This window comes from Homo sapiens, chromosome 6, assembly GCF_000001405.40.
Source record: "Homo sapiens chromosome 6, GRCh38.p14 Primary Assembly".
Classification (NCBI taxonomy): domain Eukaryota; kingdom Metazoa; phylum Chordata; class Mammalia; order Primates; family Hominidae; genus Homo; species Homo sapiens.
Window position 1 is genome coordinate 14,897,130 of NC_000006.12, and position 20,145 is coordinate 14,917,274.

The 20,145-nt window shown below is 43.9% G+C and overlaps 1 long non-coding RNA gene across 1 annotated transcript in view, besides 2 other annotated features; it reads right to left on the reverse strand.

The window, feature by feature from the left end:
* Positions 1 to 20,145, reverse strand: part of LOC105374945 (uncharacterized) — a 148,669-nt gene that overhangs the window by 36,714 nt on the left and 91,810 nt on the right. The gene's annotated exons all lie outside the window — the stretch shown is intronic.
* Positions 13,494 to 13,553: an enhancer, noted in NCBI's record as "active region_24061". NCBI's record gives its function as "activates an Ori minimal core promoter by ATAC-STARR-seq in GM12878 lymphoblastoid cells {active_cell/tissue: GM12878}" and the evidence as "EXISTENCE:reporter gene assay evidence [ECO:0000049][PMID:35858748]".
* Positions 14,244 to 14,303: an enhancer, noted in NCBI's record as "active region_24062". NCBI's record gives its function as "activates an Ori minimal core promoter by ATAC-STARR-seq in GM12878 lymphoblastoid cells {active_cell/tissue: GM12878}" and the evidence as "EXISTENCE:reporter gene assay evidence [ECO:0000049][PMID:35858748]".

Sequence of the window (20,145 nt, forward strand, 5' to 3'; positions counted from 1 at the left end):
TCCTGTTGGTTGCTCCACCACCTTAGCATTTATGCTTTTCCCTTCTAGGGATGCCAGTTGCACCATAGCTCCAGAAGTTGGACCAAGGAACCTTAGAAAAGCCATTAGTGTGTTCTATCACCTGGCCACACACACATACACACACACATGCACAATGGTTTAGGGCTAGTCTTTTATTTATTATTATTATTATTATTATATATTTTTTGAGACAGAGTTTTGCTCTTGTTGCTCAAGCTGGAGTGCAATGGTGCCATCTCAGCTCACCGCAGCCTCCACCTCACGGGTTCAAGCAATTCTCCTGCCTCAGCCTCCTGAGTAGCTGGGATTACAGGCATGCACCATCAAGCCAAGCTAATTTTGTATTTTTAGTAGAGACAGGGTTTCTTCATGTTGGTCAAGCTGGTCTTGAACCCCCGACCTCAGGTGATCCGCCCGCCTCGGCCTCCCAAAGTGCTGGGATTACAGGTGTGAGCCACTGCACCCAGCCATGGCTAGTCTTATGACCTAACCCAGTCTGATCAGAATGAATCTCAGGACTTCAGCTGAAACTGTGAAAGATATTTCTTATTCTAGAAGCCAGCCTGAGGATGAAACCAACACACACTGCAGGGAATATTCAATAGAAAGAAATCAAAGGAAAAAGAATTTGAACCCAGATCCAAATGCTCCTAAGTGAGGATCTACCTTGAACTTTTTCAGCTATGTGAGCCAACAAATTGTCTTTATTGTTTAAATTAGTTCAAGAGTTATTACCTACAACCTAAAGTATCTGAACTGAGATAACTGGTCGCCTACTGTTTTAACTGCCACACACCCCTTTCTTCTTCTGGAAACACTACTTCCCTTCTTTGGGGGAACTGTTCCTCCCCCCACCACCACACACACGCGCACACACATACACAGTTCTAAAGGAGGCTGCAAATTAAAGCCGGCCCCAACATCCCTTCTCAACCCACAGGGGAAAATATAAGGCCCAACAGACATATCAGAGCCTTTCCCTGCATTTTAGGGACTGAAGGAAGACAGATGATCCCTCTCTGGTAGTGAAACCAAGAGCCGCCTACAGCCCTACTTCCAGCTTTGTGATAAAAGCCAACTGAGAGACTGAGAGGAGAATCCTAGAACATTTAAAACCCTGGTTCCAAGTGATCTTGAGGCCATCTGCCACCTTGAACCTTCGGTGAACTGGCTGTGTGCACCAGTGAATCCCCCCACTTCTCATCCCTGCATCTTTCTTGGGTGGGTTTCTTCCCTTTCTTTGACCAGGAGTCCTGATCCTACCTTTCTGACCTGAAGCAGACACCCAGAAGCTTCCCAAAGACAAGTCACAGAACCCTCTAGGCTGCCTTGTGCTCATCTTTGAAGTGAAGGGGTTGGGCTAGGCACAGTGGCTCACACCTGTAATTCCAACACTCTGGGAGGCCAAGGCAGGGGGATCACCTGAGGTCAGGAGTTCAAGATCAGCCTGGCCAACATAGAGAAACCCTGTCTCTACTAAAAATACAAAAAATTAGCTGGGTGTGGTGGCATGCACCTGTAATCCCAGTTACTCGGGAGGCTGAGGCAGGAGAATCACTTGAACCCAGGAGGCAGAGGTTGCAGTGAGCTGAGATTGCACCACTGCACTCCAGCCTGGGCAACAAGAATGAAACTCCATGTCAAAAAAATAAAAAATAAAGTGAAGAGGTTGGATGAAACTTTGTCTGGAGTGCCCCTTGGCTTTATTCTGGGCCTGAAGCCCTCCCAGACTGCTGCTATGGTTTGAGTATTTATGTCCCCCTGAAATTCATATGTTGAAATCTTAACCCCCAAGGTGATGGTACTGGGAGGTAAGACCTTTGGGAGGTGATTAGGTCAGGAGGGTAGTACCCTCATGAATGGAATTATTGCCCTCATAAAAGAGACCCAAGGGAACCCATTCATTTCTTCTGTCATGTGAGGACACAGCAAGGTACCATCTATGAACAAGGAAATAGTCCCTTACCAGACACTAAATCTACCAGCACCTTGATCTTGGAATTCTCAGCCTCCAGAACTATGAGAAATAAATTTCTATTATTTATAGGCAGTTTATGATATTTTGTTATAGCAGCCTGAATGAAGTAAGACAAGCCCCTGTAGTCTCCAGCAAGAATGACAACAGCACCCACTTTGTCTACATATAACTTTGCACACCTTTCTCTTCTTCTTATCATGCCCCATTTTTGTTAAAGATTGATTCATAAAGTTAACATCAGCTATCAGCACATGCCTAACAATATCAACAGCTTCCATTTATTGGGTGCCTACTTGGTGCCAAGTTAGGTGTTTCATATATTGTTTCCAATCCTTACAACCCACATGTACCAAATGGTAGTAAAAATAGAGGCGAATTTTCAATATCATACTGAATGGGAAAAAGCTGGAAGCATTCTCCTTGAAAACCAGCACAATACAAGGATGCCCTCTCTCACCACTCCCATTCAACATAGTACTGAAAGTTCTGGCCAGGGCAATGAGCCAAGAAAAAGAAATAAACGATATTCGAATAGGAAGAGAGGAGGTCCAATTGTCTCTGTTTGCAGATGACATTATCCTATATCTAGAAAACCCCATTGTCTCAGCTCAAAAGCTTAAGCTAATAAGCAACTTTGGCAATATCTCAGGATACAAAATCAATGTGCAAAACTCACAAGCATTCCTATACGCCAACAATAGACAAGCAGAGTCAAATCATGAATAAACTCCTATTCACAATTGATACAAAGAGAACAGAATAAATAGGAATACAGTTAACAAGGGATGTGAAGGACTTCAAGGAGAACTACAAACCACTGCTCAAGGAAATCAGAGAGGACACCAACAAATGGAAAAACATTCCATGCTCAAGGATAGGAAGAATCAATATCATGAAAATGGCCATACTGCCCAAAATAATTTATAGATTCAATGCTATTCCCATTAAACTACCATTGACATTCTTCACTGAATTAGAAAAAACTACTTTAAAATTCATATGGAACCAAAAACGAGCCTGTATAGCCAAGACAATCCTAAGCAAAAAGAACAAAACTAAAGACATCACACTACCCTACTTCAAACTATACTACAAGGCTACAGTAACCAAAACAGCAGGGTACTGGTACAAAAACAGATAAGCAGACCAATGGAACAGAATAAAGATCTTAGAAATAATATCACATACTACAAACAACTGATCTTCAACAAGCCTGACAAAAACAAGCAATGGGGAAAGGATTCCCTGTTAGGAAATGGTGCTGGGAGAACTGGCTAGCCATATGCAGAAAATTGAAACCGGACCCCTTCCTTACGCCTTATACAAAAATTAACTCAAGATGGCTTAAAGACTTAAATGTAAAACCCAAAACTATAAAAACCCTAGAATAAAATCTAGGCAATACCATTCAGGATGTAGGCACAGGCAAAGATTTCATGAGGAAAATGTCAAAAGCAATTGCAACAAAAGCAAAAATTGACAAATGGGATCTAATTAAACTAAAGAGCTTCTGCACAGCAAACTAAACTATCATCAGAGTGAACAGACAACCTACAGAATGGGAGAAATTTTTGCAATCTATCCATCTGACAAAGGTCTAATACCCAGAATTTAGAAGGAACTTAAATTCACAAGAAAAAAACAACCCCATTAAAAAGTGGGCAAAGGGCTGGGCGTGGTGGCTCAGGCCTGTAATCCCAGCACTTTGGGAGGCTGAGGCAGGCAGATCACCTGAGGTCAGGAGTCCAAGACCAGCCTGGCCAACATGGTGAAACCCCATCTCTACAAAAATACAAAAATTAGCTGGGCAAGGTGGCGGGTGGCTGTAATCCCTGCTACTCAGTAGGCTGAGGCTGGAGAATCGCTTGAACCCAAGAGGCAGAAGTTGCAGTGAGCGAAGATCACACCATTGCACTCCAGCCACCTGGGCGACAGAGCAAGACTTCATCTCAAAAAAAAAAAAAAAGTGGGCGAAGGACATGAACAGACACTTCTCAAAAGACGACATGTATGTGGCCAAAAACCATGAAAAAAAGCTCAACATCACTGGTCATTAGACGGATGCAAATCAAAACCACAATGAGGACCCTCTCGTGCCAGCCAGTCAGAATGACGATTATTAAACAGTCAAGAAACAACAGATGCTGGTGAGGCTGTGGAAAAATAGGAACACTTTTACACTATTGGTGGGAATGCAAATTAGTTCAACAATTCTGGAAGACAGTGTGGCAATTCCTCAAAGACCTAGAGCCAGAAATACCATTTGACCCAGCAATTATTATAAGTGAGAACCTGCAGTGTTTGGTTCCCATTACTGGTATTTCTATTATTGGATAATACACCCAAACGAATATAAATCATTCTACTATAAAGACATATGCATGTGTATGTTCATTGCAGCACTATTCACAATAGCAAACACATGGAATCAACCCAAATGTTCATCAATGATAGACTGGATAAAGAAAATGTGGTACATATACACCATGGAATACTATGCAGCCATAAAGAGAAATGAGATCATGTCCTTTGCAGGGACATGGTTGGAGCTTGAAGCCATCACCCACAGAAAACTAACACAGGAACAGAAAACCAAACACCACAGGTTCTCAGTTATAAGCGGGAGCTGAACAATCAGAGCACAGGGACACAGGGAGGGGAACAACACACACTGGGGCCTGTGGGTGAGGAGCTAGGGGAGGGAAAGCTTCAAGATAAATAGTTAATGCATGCTGGGCTTAATACCTAAGTATTAAACCTGCACATCCTGCACATATACCCTGGAACTTTAAATTAAATTAAATAATAATAAAGGCAAATTTTGAGCCAACCCCTCCCTTTTCAGTCCTCCAGATCCTTGCCTCTGCTTTCCAGTAGTCCTCCTCTCCAGACATCTCTGAGAATCTCATGTTGTGCTTCCTAAGGCCATTATGGTAAGAATTTGTTCATAGTTCCACCAATGTGAGGTTCTCAATCCTTCTCCTCTTGTGTCTTTCTTTGATTCCTCAAAAGCGGAGGGAGCCCAAACTGGAAACTACTTGCAATGCTCATCAGCAATAGAATGTATGAAAATGTTGTGGGATATTTACTCAATGGAATCCCATGCTGCAATGAGAGTGAATGAATGACACCTACCCACAGCCATATTTGCAAAAGAAGTAAAGTACAGGAATGATTCCACTTATATAAAGAGCAAAATCTGGTAAAATGTACCCAAGGCTTTTTAGATGTCAAGATAGGGGCGACCTTGGGGAGGAATGACAGGGAGGAGGCAAAAGTAGTACTTCTGGGGTGCTGGTCACATTTTGATACTTAACCCTGGTCAGGGATTAGGTTCAGTTTATAAATGTTTATTGAACTGGACACTTAGGGCTTGTGAGTTTTCCTGTTCTTTCTCATACTCCAATACAGAAGTCTTAAAATGAATATAGGAGATGTGCTATCCCAATGTCCGGGCTGCAGTGCTTGGCTGCTGCTATCCTGAGTTCTTCTCCAGGCCCACCAGTGTCAGAACCTACAGAGCTTTCATTGCAGGGCCAACACTGCATTTGGGGGACCTATTTACCTATGACACAGCGGTCCTGGTATCCTGTGCCATCTCTGCTGCTGCTGCTTTCTGGAAGCCTCACGTTCCATGCTGCTTATCTCCTGGACTTATCTCTCTCCATCCGATACGGAGAAGCCCTTTGTTTTTTTTTTTTTTTTGAGACGGAGTCTCGCTCTGTTGCCCAGGCTGGAGTGTGGTGGCGCGATCTCGGCTCACTGCAAGCTCCACCTCCCAGGTTCACACCATTCTCCTGCCTCAGCCTCCCAAGTAGCTGGGACTACAGGTGCCTGCCACCACGCCTGGCTAATTTTTTTTTTTTTTTTTTTTTTTGTATTTTTAGTAGAGATGGGGTTTCACTGTGTAAGCCAGGATGGTCTCGATCTCCTGACCTCGTGATCCGCCCATCTCAGCCTCCCAAAGTGCTGGGATTACAGGTGTGAGCCACCACACCAGGCTAGAGAAGCCCTTTTTATCTCAGGGGCCCAGCTCTTTTGATACAAGGGTTGGGTGAGGGTGAGGCACCTCTCATGCTACTGTAACTTCAGTTTTACTGCCCAACTCGCTGAGAAAGTCTTCCCCAGGAGAGTTTATTATATTTCCAGTAATAAAGAACTCTGTTTTCATCACGCTTCTCCTGCCTGGGATGTGTTAGCACTCTGGCAGGCAGTTAGTTCAATGAGGGCCATATGGTATTATGGTTAGGAGCATGGCTCTGGATCACTGCCCCCTCAGTCCTCGCTCTGCCACTTCCTGGCTGTGGGTAAGTTCGTTAAATTCTCTGTGTCTAAGTTTCCTAATTCAAAAGAAAAAGGCCTTCTTTATAGGGATTGGAAAGATTGAGAGTATATTACATGTTAATTGCTTAGAACAGAGTCTGGCATATGGTTAAGGTTTCAACTAAGCTTAGCAACAGTGATTACTTGTCCCTACCTGTAACCTGCTTTTATCTCTTGTCCTGCCCTGAAGCCCATTAGCCATGTCTGTTCACTCCTGAACCCTGGTTGAGGGCAGAGTTCGTGTTCTCGTCCAATATTTCATGCCTGTTAGAGAGGTTTTATCTATGCAAAGCACACAACCCCCATAAGTGGGCCACCTAACTCTAAATGCTGGCATAGCCACGTCTTAGGTCTGAGCTGGCCAGGATACCATCAAAACCCCTGGCAGCCCTGTGAAATAGGAAATGTGAGGCCCGTGTTGCAAATGTGGAAACTGAAGCTCAGAGAGGTGTAGCAACTTGCCCAGACTGATGTGGCAGGTACATAGCTGAGCTGAATTCAAGGCAGGCTTATGCTGACTCTAAAACTCAGGTCTTTCCCATTAGGCCACATTGTCCTCTCAGGCACCAGGCACTGTGGATGACAAGGAAAGAAGTGGCACTATCCACTTTACATAAATTGTAACCTAGCGCAGGAGGGAAGACATAGACACGAATCAAAAGTTAAAAACTGGCACAGCCACAGATTATTAGGCCTACACAGGCCGAAGCTTTGAGGAGAGCTGCCCTCAACCAACCGACTGAGGTTAGATATTTTATTCTTTAAAATGAAGTTTCCAGAGAACAATTCTTAGAGGAAACAGAACGAGCAAAGATAGTCAGTGGGTCCAAAGGGTCACAATTGGGATTATGGGGCTAGAAAGGATGGACAAGCCAAGGATCAGAAGTCAGGCAAAGGCAGAGCCAGACAGACTCTTCCAGGCACTGAGCAAAGCACTTTATATATCCATGTCTGTGTTGGGGTCCCCACAACTACCCTCAGATTCAATGATTTGCTGCAGGGACTCAGAGAACTCAAAAAAGATGGAGTAAAAGTTACCATTCACTCCAGAGAAAGGACGCAGATTTAAATCAGCAAAGGTAAAAGGTATAGGCCAGGTGTGGTGGCTCACACCTGTAATCCCAGTACTTTGGAAGGCCAAGGTGGGTGGATCACCTGAGGTCTGGAGTTCGAGACCAGCCTGGCTAACATGGTGAAATGGTGAAAACCCATCTCTACTAAAAATACAAAATTAGTCGGGCATGGTGGCGCATGCCTGTAATCCCAGCTACTCAGGAGGCTGAGGCAGGAGAATTGCTTGAGCCCGGGAGGTGGAGGTTGCAGTGAGCCGAGATCGTGCCATTGCACTCCAGCCTCGCAACAAGAGTGAAACTCCATCTCAAAAAAAAAAGAAAGAGAGAGGGAGAGAGAGAGAGAAAGAAGGAAGGAGGGAAAGAGGGAAGGAGGGAAAGAGAAGAAAAGAAAGTTATACCAAAATAAGTTTACTGAGTTAGAGATCAAGCTGGTTAATGACCTACAGGACAATAAAACTATAAGCATTGAGGTTATCTTTTCTACCAATAAAAAATCATTTATGTCTCTAATAAACAAAAGTCTCTAAGTTAACATGTAACTTCACAGCATCTGAGCCCTAATCAATAGTAAACAGAATTCAATGAAAAGTACATTCTCTTGAGAATCAAATAATCTGTGGGTGAGCTTGTTAGACAAGACCCCAGGGTGACACCAAAAGTTTTACATAATTTTTCTTAACGATTGTTATGGTTTGAATGTCCCCAAAAATTTGTGTGTTGAAACTAATCACCAATGTGATAGTACTTAGAGGTAGGCTGATTTAGGACGTGATTAAGCCATGAGGGTACAACATTCACCAGTGAGATTAGCAACCTTATAAAACAGCTGGAGGGAACTAGCTAGGCCCTTTTTGCCCTTCCATTCCTTCCACCAGGTGAGGACACAGCATTCATCGCCTCCAGAGGTTGCAGCAACAAGCTGCTATCTTAGAAGCAGAAATTGGGCCCTCACTGGACACTGAAACTGCCCAGGCCTTGATCTTGGACTTCCCAGCCTCCAGAACTATGAGACATACAATGCTGTTGTTATAAATTGCCCAATCTCAGGTATTTTGTTATAGCAGCAAATAGACTAAGACAATAATAGACAGGGGGTTTTTTAAATGTAAAAATAGTTGAGAGTCCTACATCAACAAATCACAATTTGATTGATAACTTCAGATTGTCCACTTTAGGTCTAAAGCAATTTGCAAGCAACTATTTTGTCATTTCCCAAGCTTACCTGATAGATTTTTGCATTACAAACAGAATTGCACATTCTGTACTATAAGAATATTGTTAAAATGCAACATACTAAAAGGCTATTTCCAAAGCAAATAGAGGCATCAACTGCCAGGGAAAAACAGGGATTATCAAAGAATATCAGTTAAAGCTCTACCAAAAATAGAGCTCTTCAAAAATACTAATCCCCTAGTATTATGGTTAACTATTTGTTTAAACACACTTAATCCATCAAAGATACTGTTTTGATTGAGTCACTTGTCTTTATGAATAAATGGTAATGGGCTTGAATTTCCACAATACTTTTTACTCTTTAATTTAGAGTCCAATAATTCAGGTTTTTTGAAAATCCAGCAGAGGCTGTTCTGAAGTTTGTTTTTGCACTGTGCATGAAAAAAATAGTTTGATAAGAATCCCAGTAGTGGCAATCAAGTTTGGAGAGCAGGCTTAGGAAAGAGTATTTTAACTACTTATTAACTTTAAAATATTGTGAACACTTTAGAAGCATCTATTTACATAAAATCAATGCAGTAATTAGAGATTATTCTTATCTCTTCATTAAGATAAGTCTCCTGAGAATCTCTATTCATCACTTAGTGCAAGTCCCTCATCTGACTTCATCTGAAACACCTGGAAGATGCTTTAAAAATAGAAATACACATAACCCAGCCCACCCCTGAGATTCTGATGCAGCAGATAGAGCCCAGGAACATCTACTGAAAAGCTGCCAGTGACTATGATGCACGCCAGATATGAGGACCCCTAACCAGGAGGGACACGTTCTTCTGCTGGACTATCTCATATGACAGTGCATCCTCAGGATCACTGGCTCCCAGGTCTGAAAAATAACTTAGGAAACATGTAGCTTGATATAGAAATTCTATATGTCCTGCAATTCTGACTTTTAAGTAAAATGGACTGGACTTAGCCCCCAGATCGTTCTAATGAACTCTGTATTTCAATCTTGCAATTCACAGCAGGAACCCAGATTCAGTCAACCCTGTCCAGTGCTAGAAACTGAAGCCAAAGCTAAGGGTTGGCAAGCCCTGGCCAACAGGTCAAATCTGTCCTTCTGCCTGTTCTTATAAATAAAGTTTTATTGGAACACAGACATGCTTATTCATTTAGAGATTATCTATGACTAGGCAAAGTTGAGTAGTTAGAAGAGAGATGATACGGCCCACAGAGCCTAAAATATTATCTAGCCCTGGCCTAAATCTTCACTTAAATGAATGAATACATTATTTTTCTTTACAATTAAATATAAAGAACTTCAATCCAAAATACAGCTCTTACAATTCAATAAAAAGAAGACAGTGCAATTTTTCAAATGAGCAAAAAATGTGAAGCCAAGCTTCATCAGAGAAGATACATGAATGACAAATAAGGACATGAAAAGAAGCTCAACATCATGAGTTATCAAGAAAACATGCATTAAGACCGGGCACAGTGGCTCATGCCTGTAATCCCAGCACTTTGGGAAGCCAAGGCAGGTGGATCACCTGAGATCAGGAGTTTGAGACCAGGCTGGCCAATATGGCAAAACCCCATCTCTACTAAAAATAAAAAATAAAAAAAAATAGCTGGGTGTGGTGGCACATGCCTGTCATCCCAGCTACTTAGGAGGTTGAGGCAGGAGAATTGCTTGAACCCAGGAGGCGGAGGTTGCAGCGAGCCAAGATCATGCCATTCCACTCCAGCCTGGGCGACAGAGTGAGACTCTGTCTCAAAAAAAAAAAAAAAAAAAAAGGAAGAAAATGTGCATTAAAACTACGTGCTTACTAGAATGGCCAAAAGTAAAAAAACTGATCATGCCAAGCACTGAGAAGGATGCAGAGCAACTAGGACTCCCATATATTGGTGATGGGAATACACAATAGTACAACCACTTTTTTGTTTTTTTGTTTTTTGAGACAGAGTCTTGCTCTGTCGCCCAGGCAGGAGTGCAGTGGTATGATCTCCGCTCACTGTAACCTCTGCCTCCAGGGTTCAAGAGATTCTCCTGCCTCAGCCTCCCAAGTAGCTGGGATTACAGGTATGTGCCACCATGCCCAGCTAATTTTTGTATTTTTAGTAGAGAAGGGGTTTCACCATGTTGGGCAGGCTGGTCTCATACTCCTGACCTCAAGTGATCTGCCCGCCTCAGCCTCCCACAGTGCTGGGATTACAGGAGTGAGCCACCATGCTCAGCCAGTACAACCACTTTGGAAAACAGGTAATTTCTTAAAAAGTTAAACATAAATCTACTATACAACCCTGCCATCCACTATGAAATATTTACCTGTAAGAAATGAAAGTGTATGTCTATACAATTGCTTGTACACAAACATTCATAGCAGTTTTTTGTTGTTTTGTTTTGTGGGGTTTTTTTTTTTTTTTTCTGTAGAGATGGGATTTCACTATGTTGCCCAGGCTGGTCTCCATACTCCTGGGCTCAAGTGATCCTCCCACCTCAGCTTCCCAAAGTGCTGGGATTATAGGCATGAGCCACCATGCCCATCCACAGCTTTATTTTTAATAAAAACTGGGAACAACCCCAATGTTCATCAACAGAAGAATGAATAAACAAACTGTGGAATATCCATACCATGGCATACTACATGTAATAAAAATGAATGAACTATTGATACATGTAACAACATGGGTGAATCTCAAAATAATTACGCTAAGCAGAACAAGCAAATACAAAGTACATTCTAAAAAGGCAAAACTATGGAGACAAAAATCAAAGCAGTGATAGCCAGGAACTGGGAGTAGGAGACTGACTATGAGCTCAGTATAAAATAACTTTCTGGGGCTGGGTGCGGTGGCTCACGCCTGTAATCCCAGCACTTTGGGAGACCGAGGTGGGTGAATCACTTGAGGTCAGGAGTTTGAGACCAGCCTGACCAACATGGTGAAACCCCCTCTCTACTAAAAATACAAAAATTACCTAGCTGTGGTGGCACATGCCTGTAATCCCAGGTACTTAGGAGGCTGGGGCAGGAGAGCTGCTTGAACCTGGGAGGTAGAGGTTGCAGTGAGCCAAAATCACATCACCGCACTCCTGCCTGGGCAACAGAGTGAGACTGTCTCAAAAAAAAAAAAAAAAAAGAACTTTCTGGAGTGATAAAATGTTCCATACCTTGACAGTGGTGGTGCTCACACAGCTGTATGTTTGTCAACATTTATCCAACTATTCTCTTGAAAGGGATGGATTTTTCTGTATGTAAATTATACCAAAATACACCTGATTTATAAAAGCACACAAAAGCCAGTTGGAAGGGACTCCCATCAGCCAAATCTAGGACAATTTAAACATCAAAATAAATAACAATAGTAATGAATAATAAGCCACTGAGTGAAAAAAGATTCTCTGAGTCCATGCTGATATAAATAAAGAAAGAAATAAATAAGGGAAAGGAGAAAGTTCATGCTAACAGGAAATGCCAGCTGATAAATGTGAATAATAAAATTAGAAAAACAAGCATTTGATTATTACTGTGATAATGATTAACTCATTCAAGAATCATCAAGCCAGGGCCCAGCATGGTGGCTCACACCTGTAATCCCAAAGGTTTGGGAGGCCAAGGTAGGAGGATCACTTGAGCCCACGAACTTAAGACCAGCCTGGACAACAAAGTGAGACCCCATCTCTACAAAAAAAAAAAAAATTTAAAAATTAGTTAGGCATCGTGCACACCTGTAGTCTGTTACTCAAGAGGCCGAGGTGAGAGGATCCTCTTGTAACTTGAGTTCAAGGCTACAGTGAGCTACAGTGAGCCACGTTCACACCACTGAATTCCAGTCTGGGCAACAATAACAACAACAACAAAATATAAATGGATGCTAAAAATAATGGATAATAGTTTGTTGAGAAACAGAATACTTGTATAGTCTGGAATTATCTCCCCACATTGTACTTATTAATTGCAAAGGGAAAAATAATAATTTTACAATATAGAAACCTGGTAGACGAATAAAGTGATCAAAATCTATCCTCTATAATGAGACAAACTGACATTATAAGTCTTCTATATAAAACACTGAGAAGTGCTTTAAATCTTTGATATAAAACATGACCCTGACCAGGCATAGTGGCTCACACCTGTAATCCCAGCACTTTGGAAGGCCGAGGTGGGTGGATCACCTGAGGTCAGGAGTTCGAGACCAGCCTGGCCAACACGATGAAACCCTGGCTCTACTAAAAATACAAAAATTAGCCAGGTGTGAGGGAAGGTGCCTGTAATCCCAGCTACTCAGGAGGCTGAGACAGGAGAATCACTTGAACCTGGGAGGCGGAGGTTGCAGTGAACAGAGATCATGCTGCTGCACTCCATCCTGGATGACAGAGCGAGACTCCATCTGTTCTGTAGATCTGAAATTAGTTCAAAATGTAGATGTTTAGGAAATAAATTAACTGAACCCTGATTCATGGATGTATTATGATTTTCTCATTGTATAGACCTGACACAAATTAGGTACATTCTATGGCACATCTCATTTAGGGAAATTAAAGGGAAAAAGGTACATTCGGGAAAAGGTGAGCACAGGGATGAAGACACCATCTCCATATCCCTCGGCTGCTTCATTAACAGCCTGTTATTTTACAGCGAGGCCAGTGACACCTTGTCTATGCTTGAGTTTTCTCCACAACACAAGCAAAGTATGATGAACAGTATGATGCGGTACTAGCTCCACAGTACCATGGGAACTAGCTAGAGATTTCTCACCTGCTCCTTCATGTAACCTTTTGGCTTTTTGTTCCTGTCCTCTATTTATGAAAGAAGTAAAATGATAAGAAAGCATGCACAGTTTGTGATAGTGGATTAGCAGGTCACAAGCAGGTCTGTCTACCCTCCTTCCAGGACATCCGAGTTTCACCTTTGAAATTACAATGGTGGATCTGTCCCCTCCCCGATCTAACATTTTAATGTCCTCCTTTAGGCTTTAGACATCAGTGTCCAGACGTCCTATGAGTGGAGTCTCCAGCACCCACAGAAGTGGCTCCCTGTTGTCCCTGTGGTTCCCCAAATGTCACTGCTCTTCCCCAGCAAGAATTTGGCCGTGGCTTGATCCGAAGCAGCTGTTGCATGGCGCAACAGTGCAGAACAGTTTGGGACAGGAAGTGAAAGAGACCACATCCTCTTGAAACTGCAGGGAAAGTTTATTAGGCCTCGTATCATGGCTTCACATTGTTAGGAAGTGGCAGTTGGACTCTCCTCTGCCTCAGGAGTTTGGATGAGGCATTGGTCACTGTGTTGTCTGCCTCTTGACTTTCATCTGGAGAAGAATGCCAATGCCTACCCCGGCGCTTGACCAGAAAACTCCTTAGACAGTCACTCTGAAGGCTCCTAGAAAGTGAAAATCGTGAAAACGTATTGAAGGCCTGCTATGCCTCTGTCTGAGCACTTAAAACACTTAGAATTTGAGAATCCTGGAGCCACTTAAAATTGGCCTTGGAGTCTGATATGGTTTGGCTCTGTGTCTCCACCCAAATCTCATGTCGAATTGTAATCCCCAGTGTTGGAGGAGGGGCCTGGTGGGAGGTGACTGGATCATGGGAGTGGATTTCCCCTTTGCTGTTCTTGTGAGAGTGAGAGTTCTCACAAGGTCCGGTTGTTTAAGGGTGTAGCATCTCCCCCTTGTCTCTCTTCCTCCTGCTCTGGCCGTAGAAGACGTGCCTGCTTCCCCTTCCCCTTCTGCCATGATTGAAAGTTTCCTGAGGTCTCCCCAGCCATGCTGCCTGTACAACCTCTGGAACCATGAGCCAATTAAACCTCTTTTCTTTATAAATTACCCAGTTTCAGGTATTTCTTTATAGCAGTGCAAGAACAGACTAATACAGAGCCCATTTCACCCAATCTGACAATCTAGTTGCAGACAAAACATACACACTAGCAAATATCCTTGCAGTTCCAGGCCATGAATTTAAGAAGTCAGATGTACGGTAGCAGTCGTTAAGTGCAGGAGGCACAGGAAAAGCTGTGATTATGGAAATCTTAGGACTGCCCTCCTATACCCAAAGAGAGGAAGGTGAGGAACCCTGTCCCCAAAACCTTAATTTCCAGAACAAGCCCTCCACCTGAGGAAACAGGAATTAACAGGCAACAAAGATAAAAGGGGAGATGGGTTCAGGGTCTTAGGGCTAGGGAAGGAGAGGAGCAGGTGGCAAGTTGAGAGGGAAGGTTTAATAACATGAGATTGCCTCGGTTCAACAAAGAAGCTCCTAATCTCGAAGCTGAGTCTCTTACACATGTGAGTTTTTAATCAGAGGCCCCAAAACAGTAATCAATCTGTAGTTTCCACCAACACAAATGAGACGCATGGGAAGGAAGGAAGTAGGAAAGAAGTATTGCTTTGTTTTTGGTTTGTTGGGGCTTTTTTCTTTTCTCCTCTGGTCCACCTAAATCGGTTTGTGTGCTTAGCCCATTGCCTGAGGTATTGTTTGCATTGTCTTTCTCCTCTAGCCTCCCCCAGCTACCATCCCCTTCATCTCACATCCAAAGCTCTGGATGTGGGTTCGATAGGAAGATGGCAAACACCAGCATGTACCCTAGATCAGACATAAGGAGTAGAGCCTGTCTGGCAAGCCACCAAGCTTGGCTCTCTTGGAGGTTCTGCAAAGGGAGATAAAATGTGCCTTTTGCAGTGAAATGTTTGTGGACTTTGTATCAAATTCATGGTGCAGACATCTCTGCGGGGCAGCCGGACACAAAGCAGAATCCCCGGTCCAGCTCACTGCCAAGCCCCACCTCCCACTGCGCAGCCCAGGACGGTGCAGCCCTGGCCTTCGGTGCTCACCAGAGCGGAAGAGAGCTGCTACGGGGTCTGGACATGGGGGCTGTTACCTCCCCACACACAGTGGTCAGGCAGGTGGTATGTAACAGAGGTCCGCAGGCATGGCCTGCCACCATTGCCTGCAGGCTTTCCACTTTACGTTAGCCCACATGCTAGTGATCAGCCAGTCCATGCAGTTTGGGGTCCTCTGGTTTTCAGCCTGCATTGACTTATAATCTTCCTCATTTCTGAAGCTGAGTTAACAGACTCCCTCTGGAATGCCCACAGGTTCCTGCAACCACACAGTCTAGGGGTAAACCCTTCCCAAGACCAAGTCTGTAGGAAGCTCTAAGGTTAGAAATGGGTCACTGAGAGACAATATCAATTTCAATTACAGCTCTAGGCTCCTTGAGACCTTGTGACAAGCCACTTAAGGCAAGACTGAGTTTGACTCTGAGGCACCTCTAGTAGTGAAGCTCCTTTGCCTCAAAGAGCAGCATAACATCATGCTTCCCAGTCATCTGTCCCTGGCTTCTCTGTCCCCTCCCGCTTCCGCCCACTAACAGATCAGACTAGGTCTAGGCAAAATCCCAAATCATTTTCCCTCCCAGTCTGTGGGTTCCTGAAGTCACCAGAATTAGACTAACTCATTCACCTTGCTCAGATGAAGACACTGTCACCTTGTTAAATTGCAAAGACTTCACCTGTTCTTGCTTTGCAAGAGTTAATTTTTCAGGAAGAGTTTACTGTTGCCCAGCAAAAAACCTGAGGAAATGACAATGGGATAGGTACATTTGTTAAGGAAGCAGAGGAAAGGGAACTTTGGAAAAAGGAGTGAGGTAGGGTGATGACAGGATAACAGGGAAACAGTATAAAAGAAGAGAAAGATCAAAGCTGAATTGGGGTGAGGAGATGACACAGCTAAGGATATACTGTTTGCCTCTTACAATTTTTGCTGGAGTCAAACTTTAAAAGTTGAATAGCCTCCCGACAGCTGCTATATTTCTCTTCCCTTTGCTTGAAGTAGGATTTGGAAGAAAGTTATTTGTCTTTGTGCTCTCGATAAAGCATATTAAATAATATGTCTGTGTGTCTCAAAGACCTTGAACAACCTCAGATGGACTCTAAACCAGCCCTTATTCCTTCGTTCTGCAGGTTCAGAATTGTATTCACTTCCCAGGGCGAAGGTGACCCTCTGGGTGGCCTCCACCCTCATCCTAATTAGTATCAGCCGGCCTTTCAGAAAGGGAACATGGAATAGAGAGGTAAGAACCATCGTGGATGGCAAAACCATCTGCCTTGATTAAGAAAACAATTCTATTTACAATAGCATCAAAAAGAGTTGAATACCTAACCAAAGAGACAAAAGGTTTACATACTGAAAACTACAAAATGTTGCTGAAAGAAACTAAAGACAAAAATAAATTAAAAAAAAACCCTTGTTAATGATTGTAAGATTTAATACTCTTAAGATGTCAATACTACCCAAAGTGATCTGTAGATTTAATGCAATCCCAATCAAAATCCCAATGGCATTTTTTGCAAACACAGAACATTTCATCCTAAAATTTATATGGAATCTCAAGGGACCACAAATAGCCAAAACAATCTTGAAAAAGAACTAAGTTGGAGGTCTCACACATCCTGATTTCAAAACGTATTACAATACCATAATAATAAAAAACAGCAGGCTACTGGCAAAGAGACAGACCAGTAGAATAGAATAGAGAATTCAGAAATAAACCTTTGCATATACGGTTAAGTGATATTTTGCCAAGACTATCCAATAGGGAAAGGACAACAGTGGGCACTGGGAAAGCTGAATATACACATACCATATACAAAAAAATTAAATCAATGTGGGTCAAAGGCCTACATGTAAGACCTAAAGCTATAAAACTCTCAGAGGAAAACAAAAAACCTTCAGAGATTGGATTTGGCAATGATTTCTTGAATATGACACCAATGGCAAAGGCAACAAAAGAAAAAACATACTAATTGAACTTCATCAAAATTAAGAATCTCTTTCCATCAAAAACCACTATTAACAGAGTAAAATGGTCACCCACAGAATGGGAGAAAATATTTGCAAATCACATATCTGATAAGGGTTTAATAAATATCTAAAATATAGAGAGAATGCCTAAAACTCAACAGCCCCCAAAAAATCTATTAAAAATGGGCAAAGGACTTGAACATTTTCCCAAAGAAGATATACAAATGTGGTCATCTTTTTATGTTTCTGAGCTTCTGAAAGATGCTCAACATCACTAGTCATTAAGGAAATGCAAATCAAAACAACAATTAAATATCATCCCATACCAATTAAGATGTCTACTATAAAAGAGAAAAAACAAAAAACAGAAAATAAATATTGGTGAAGATGGGGAGAAATTAGAACCCTAGTGCCTTACTAGTGGGAATGTCAAATGACCAGCCTGGGCAACATGGCAAAACCCTGTCTCCACAAAAGTCACAAAAAATTAGCCAAGGCCAGGCACGGTGGCTCGTGCCTGTAATCCCAGCACTTTCGGAGGCCAAGGCAGGCAGATCACCTGAGGTCAGGAGTTCGAGACCAGCCTGGCCAACATAGGGAAAACCTGTCTCTACTAAAAATACAAAAATTAGCTGGGCATGGTGGCGGGCACCTGTAATCCCAGCTACTCGGGAGGCTGAGGCAGGAGAATCAATTGAACCCAGGAGGCGGAGGTTGTAGTGAGCTGAGATTGTGCCATTGCACTCCAGCCTGGGTGACAGCAGCAAAACTCCATCTCAGAAAAAAAAAAAAAAAAAATAGCCAGGTGTGGTGGCACATGCCTGTAGTCCCAGCCACTCAGGAGGCTGAGGTGGAAGGATCGCTTGAACCCAGGAGGCAGAGGTTGTAGTGAGCCAAGATGGTGCCACTGCACTCCAGCCTAGGCGATCCTGTCTCAAACAAAAAAGAAAAAAAAGAGAGAGAGAAAGAAATTTACTATAAGCAAACCCTCCAAACCTACAATAGCTCTCTTTATAGTTTTATCAACTTGGCTTAATCCAAGTCTCAACTCTGATTTGCAACCCCTTCTACAATTCATCTCATGTTATCTCTTACTGGTCCTTATTCAGGGCATACCCTCTGATCCAACCAAGATGCTGTTCCCTGGGTCATTCCTCTGACTTTTCCAATTACCAATGACACCCTCTCAACCCATTCAACCTTTCTACTCTTCCTTCAAGACCTAGCTCATATCCCCACCTTCTGCACACAGACTACAACTATTAGAACCTACCTCCTCTCCCAGTTCTCTGAGGTCCTACCATGCTATTGAGAGGTAACAGCCTGCTGGCAGCCCTCACAGCACGCTCGCTCTCGGCATCTCCTCTGCCTCGGCGCCCACTCTGGCGGCGTCTGAGGAGCCCTTTAGCCCGCCGCTGCACTGTGGGAGGCCCTCTCTGAGCTGGCCGAGGGCGGAGCCGGCTCCCTCTGCTTGCGGGGAGATATGGAGGAAGAGGCGCGAGCGAGAACCGGGGTTGCATGCAGCACTCACAGGCCAGCACGAGTTCTGGATGGGCTCGGCAGGCCCCGCACTCGGAGCAGCCGGCCAGTGCCGCCGGCCCCAGGCAGTGAGGGGCTTAGCACCCGGGCCTGCAGCTGCGGAGGGTGCACCAGGTCCCCCAGCAGTGCCGGCCCGCCGGTGCCGCACTGGAATTCTAGCCGGGCCTCAGCTGCCTCCCCACGGGGCAGGGCTCGGGACCTGCAGCCCGCAGTGCCCAAGCCTCCTCCTGCTGTGGGCTCCTGCACAGTCCAAGCCTCCCCGACAGGCACCGCCGAGGTCCCATCAACCACCCAAGGGCTGAGGACTGTGGGCACATGGAGTGGTGCTGGCGGGCAATTCTGCCAGGGGCCCTGGTGCGGGACCCACTAGGTGAAGCCAGCTGGGCTTCTGAGTCTAGAGGGGACTGTGGAGAACCTTTATGTCTAGCTAAGGGATTGTAAATACACCAATCTGCACTCTGTGTCTAGCTCAAGGTTTGTAAATGCACCAATCAGTGCTCTGTGTCCAGCTAATCTAGTGGAGACTTGGAGAATTTTTGTGTCTAGCTCAGGGATTGTAAATGCATCAATCAGCACCCTGTCAAAATGGACCAATCAGCTCTCTGTAAAACAGACCAATCAGCAGGATGTGAGTGGGGCCAGATAAGGGAATAAAAGCAGGCAGCCCCAGCCAGAAGTAGCAAGTGGCTCTGGTTCTCTTTAACAGTGTGGAAGCTTTGTTTTTTCGCTGTGTGCAATAAATGTTGCTGTTGTTCGCTCTTTGGGTCCGCACTGTGTATGAGTTGTAACACTCACCATGAAGGTCTGCAGCTTCGTTCCTCAGGCCAGCGACATCACGAACCCACTGGGAGAAACGAACAATTCCGGACGGGAGAAAGAAACAACTCCAGACGCGCCGCCTTGAGAGCTGTAATACCACAAAAATCTGCATCTTCTACTCCTGAAGCTAGCGAGACCACGAACTCACCAGAAGGAATAAACTCCAAACACGTCTGAACATCAGAAGGAACAAACTCCAGACACCCCACCTTTAAGAACTGTAACACTGACCGTGAGGGTCCGCGGCTTCATTCTCGAAGTCGGTGAGACCAGGAACCCACCGACTCTGGACACACTATTGTCTGAACACTGTAATTTAGTGCTTTCTTTATTGGGCTAACATCACCTGAACCCTCTTTGCATTCAGACCACTAGGCTAGAGACTAAATTAGATTCCTCAAACACTGCTCTTCAGC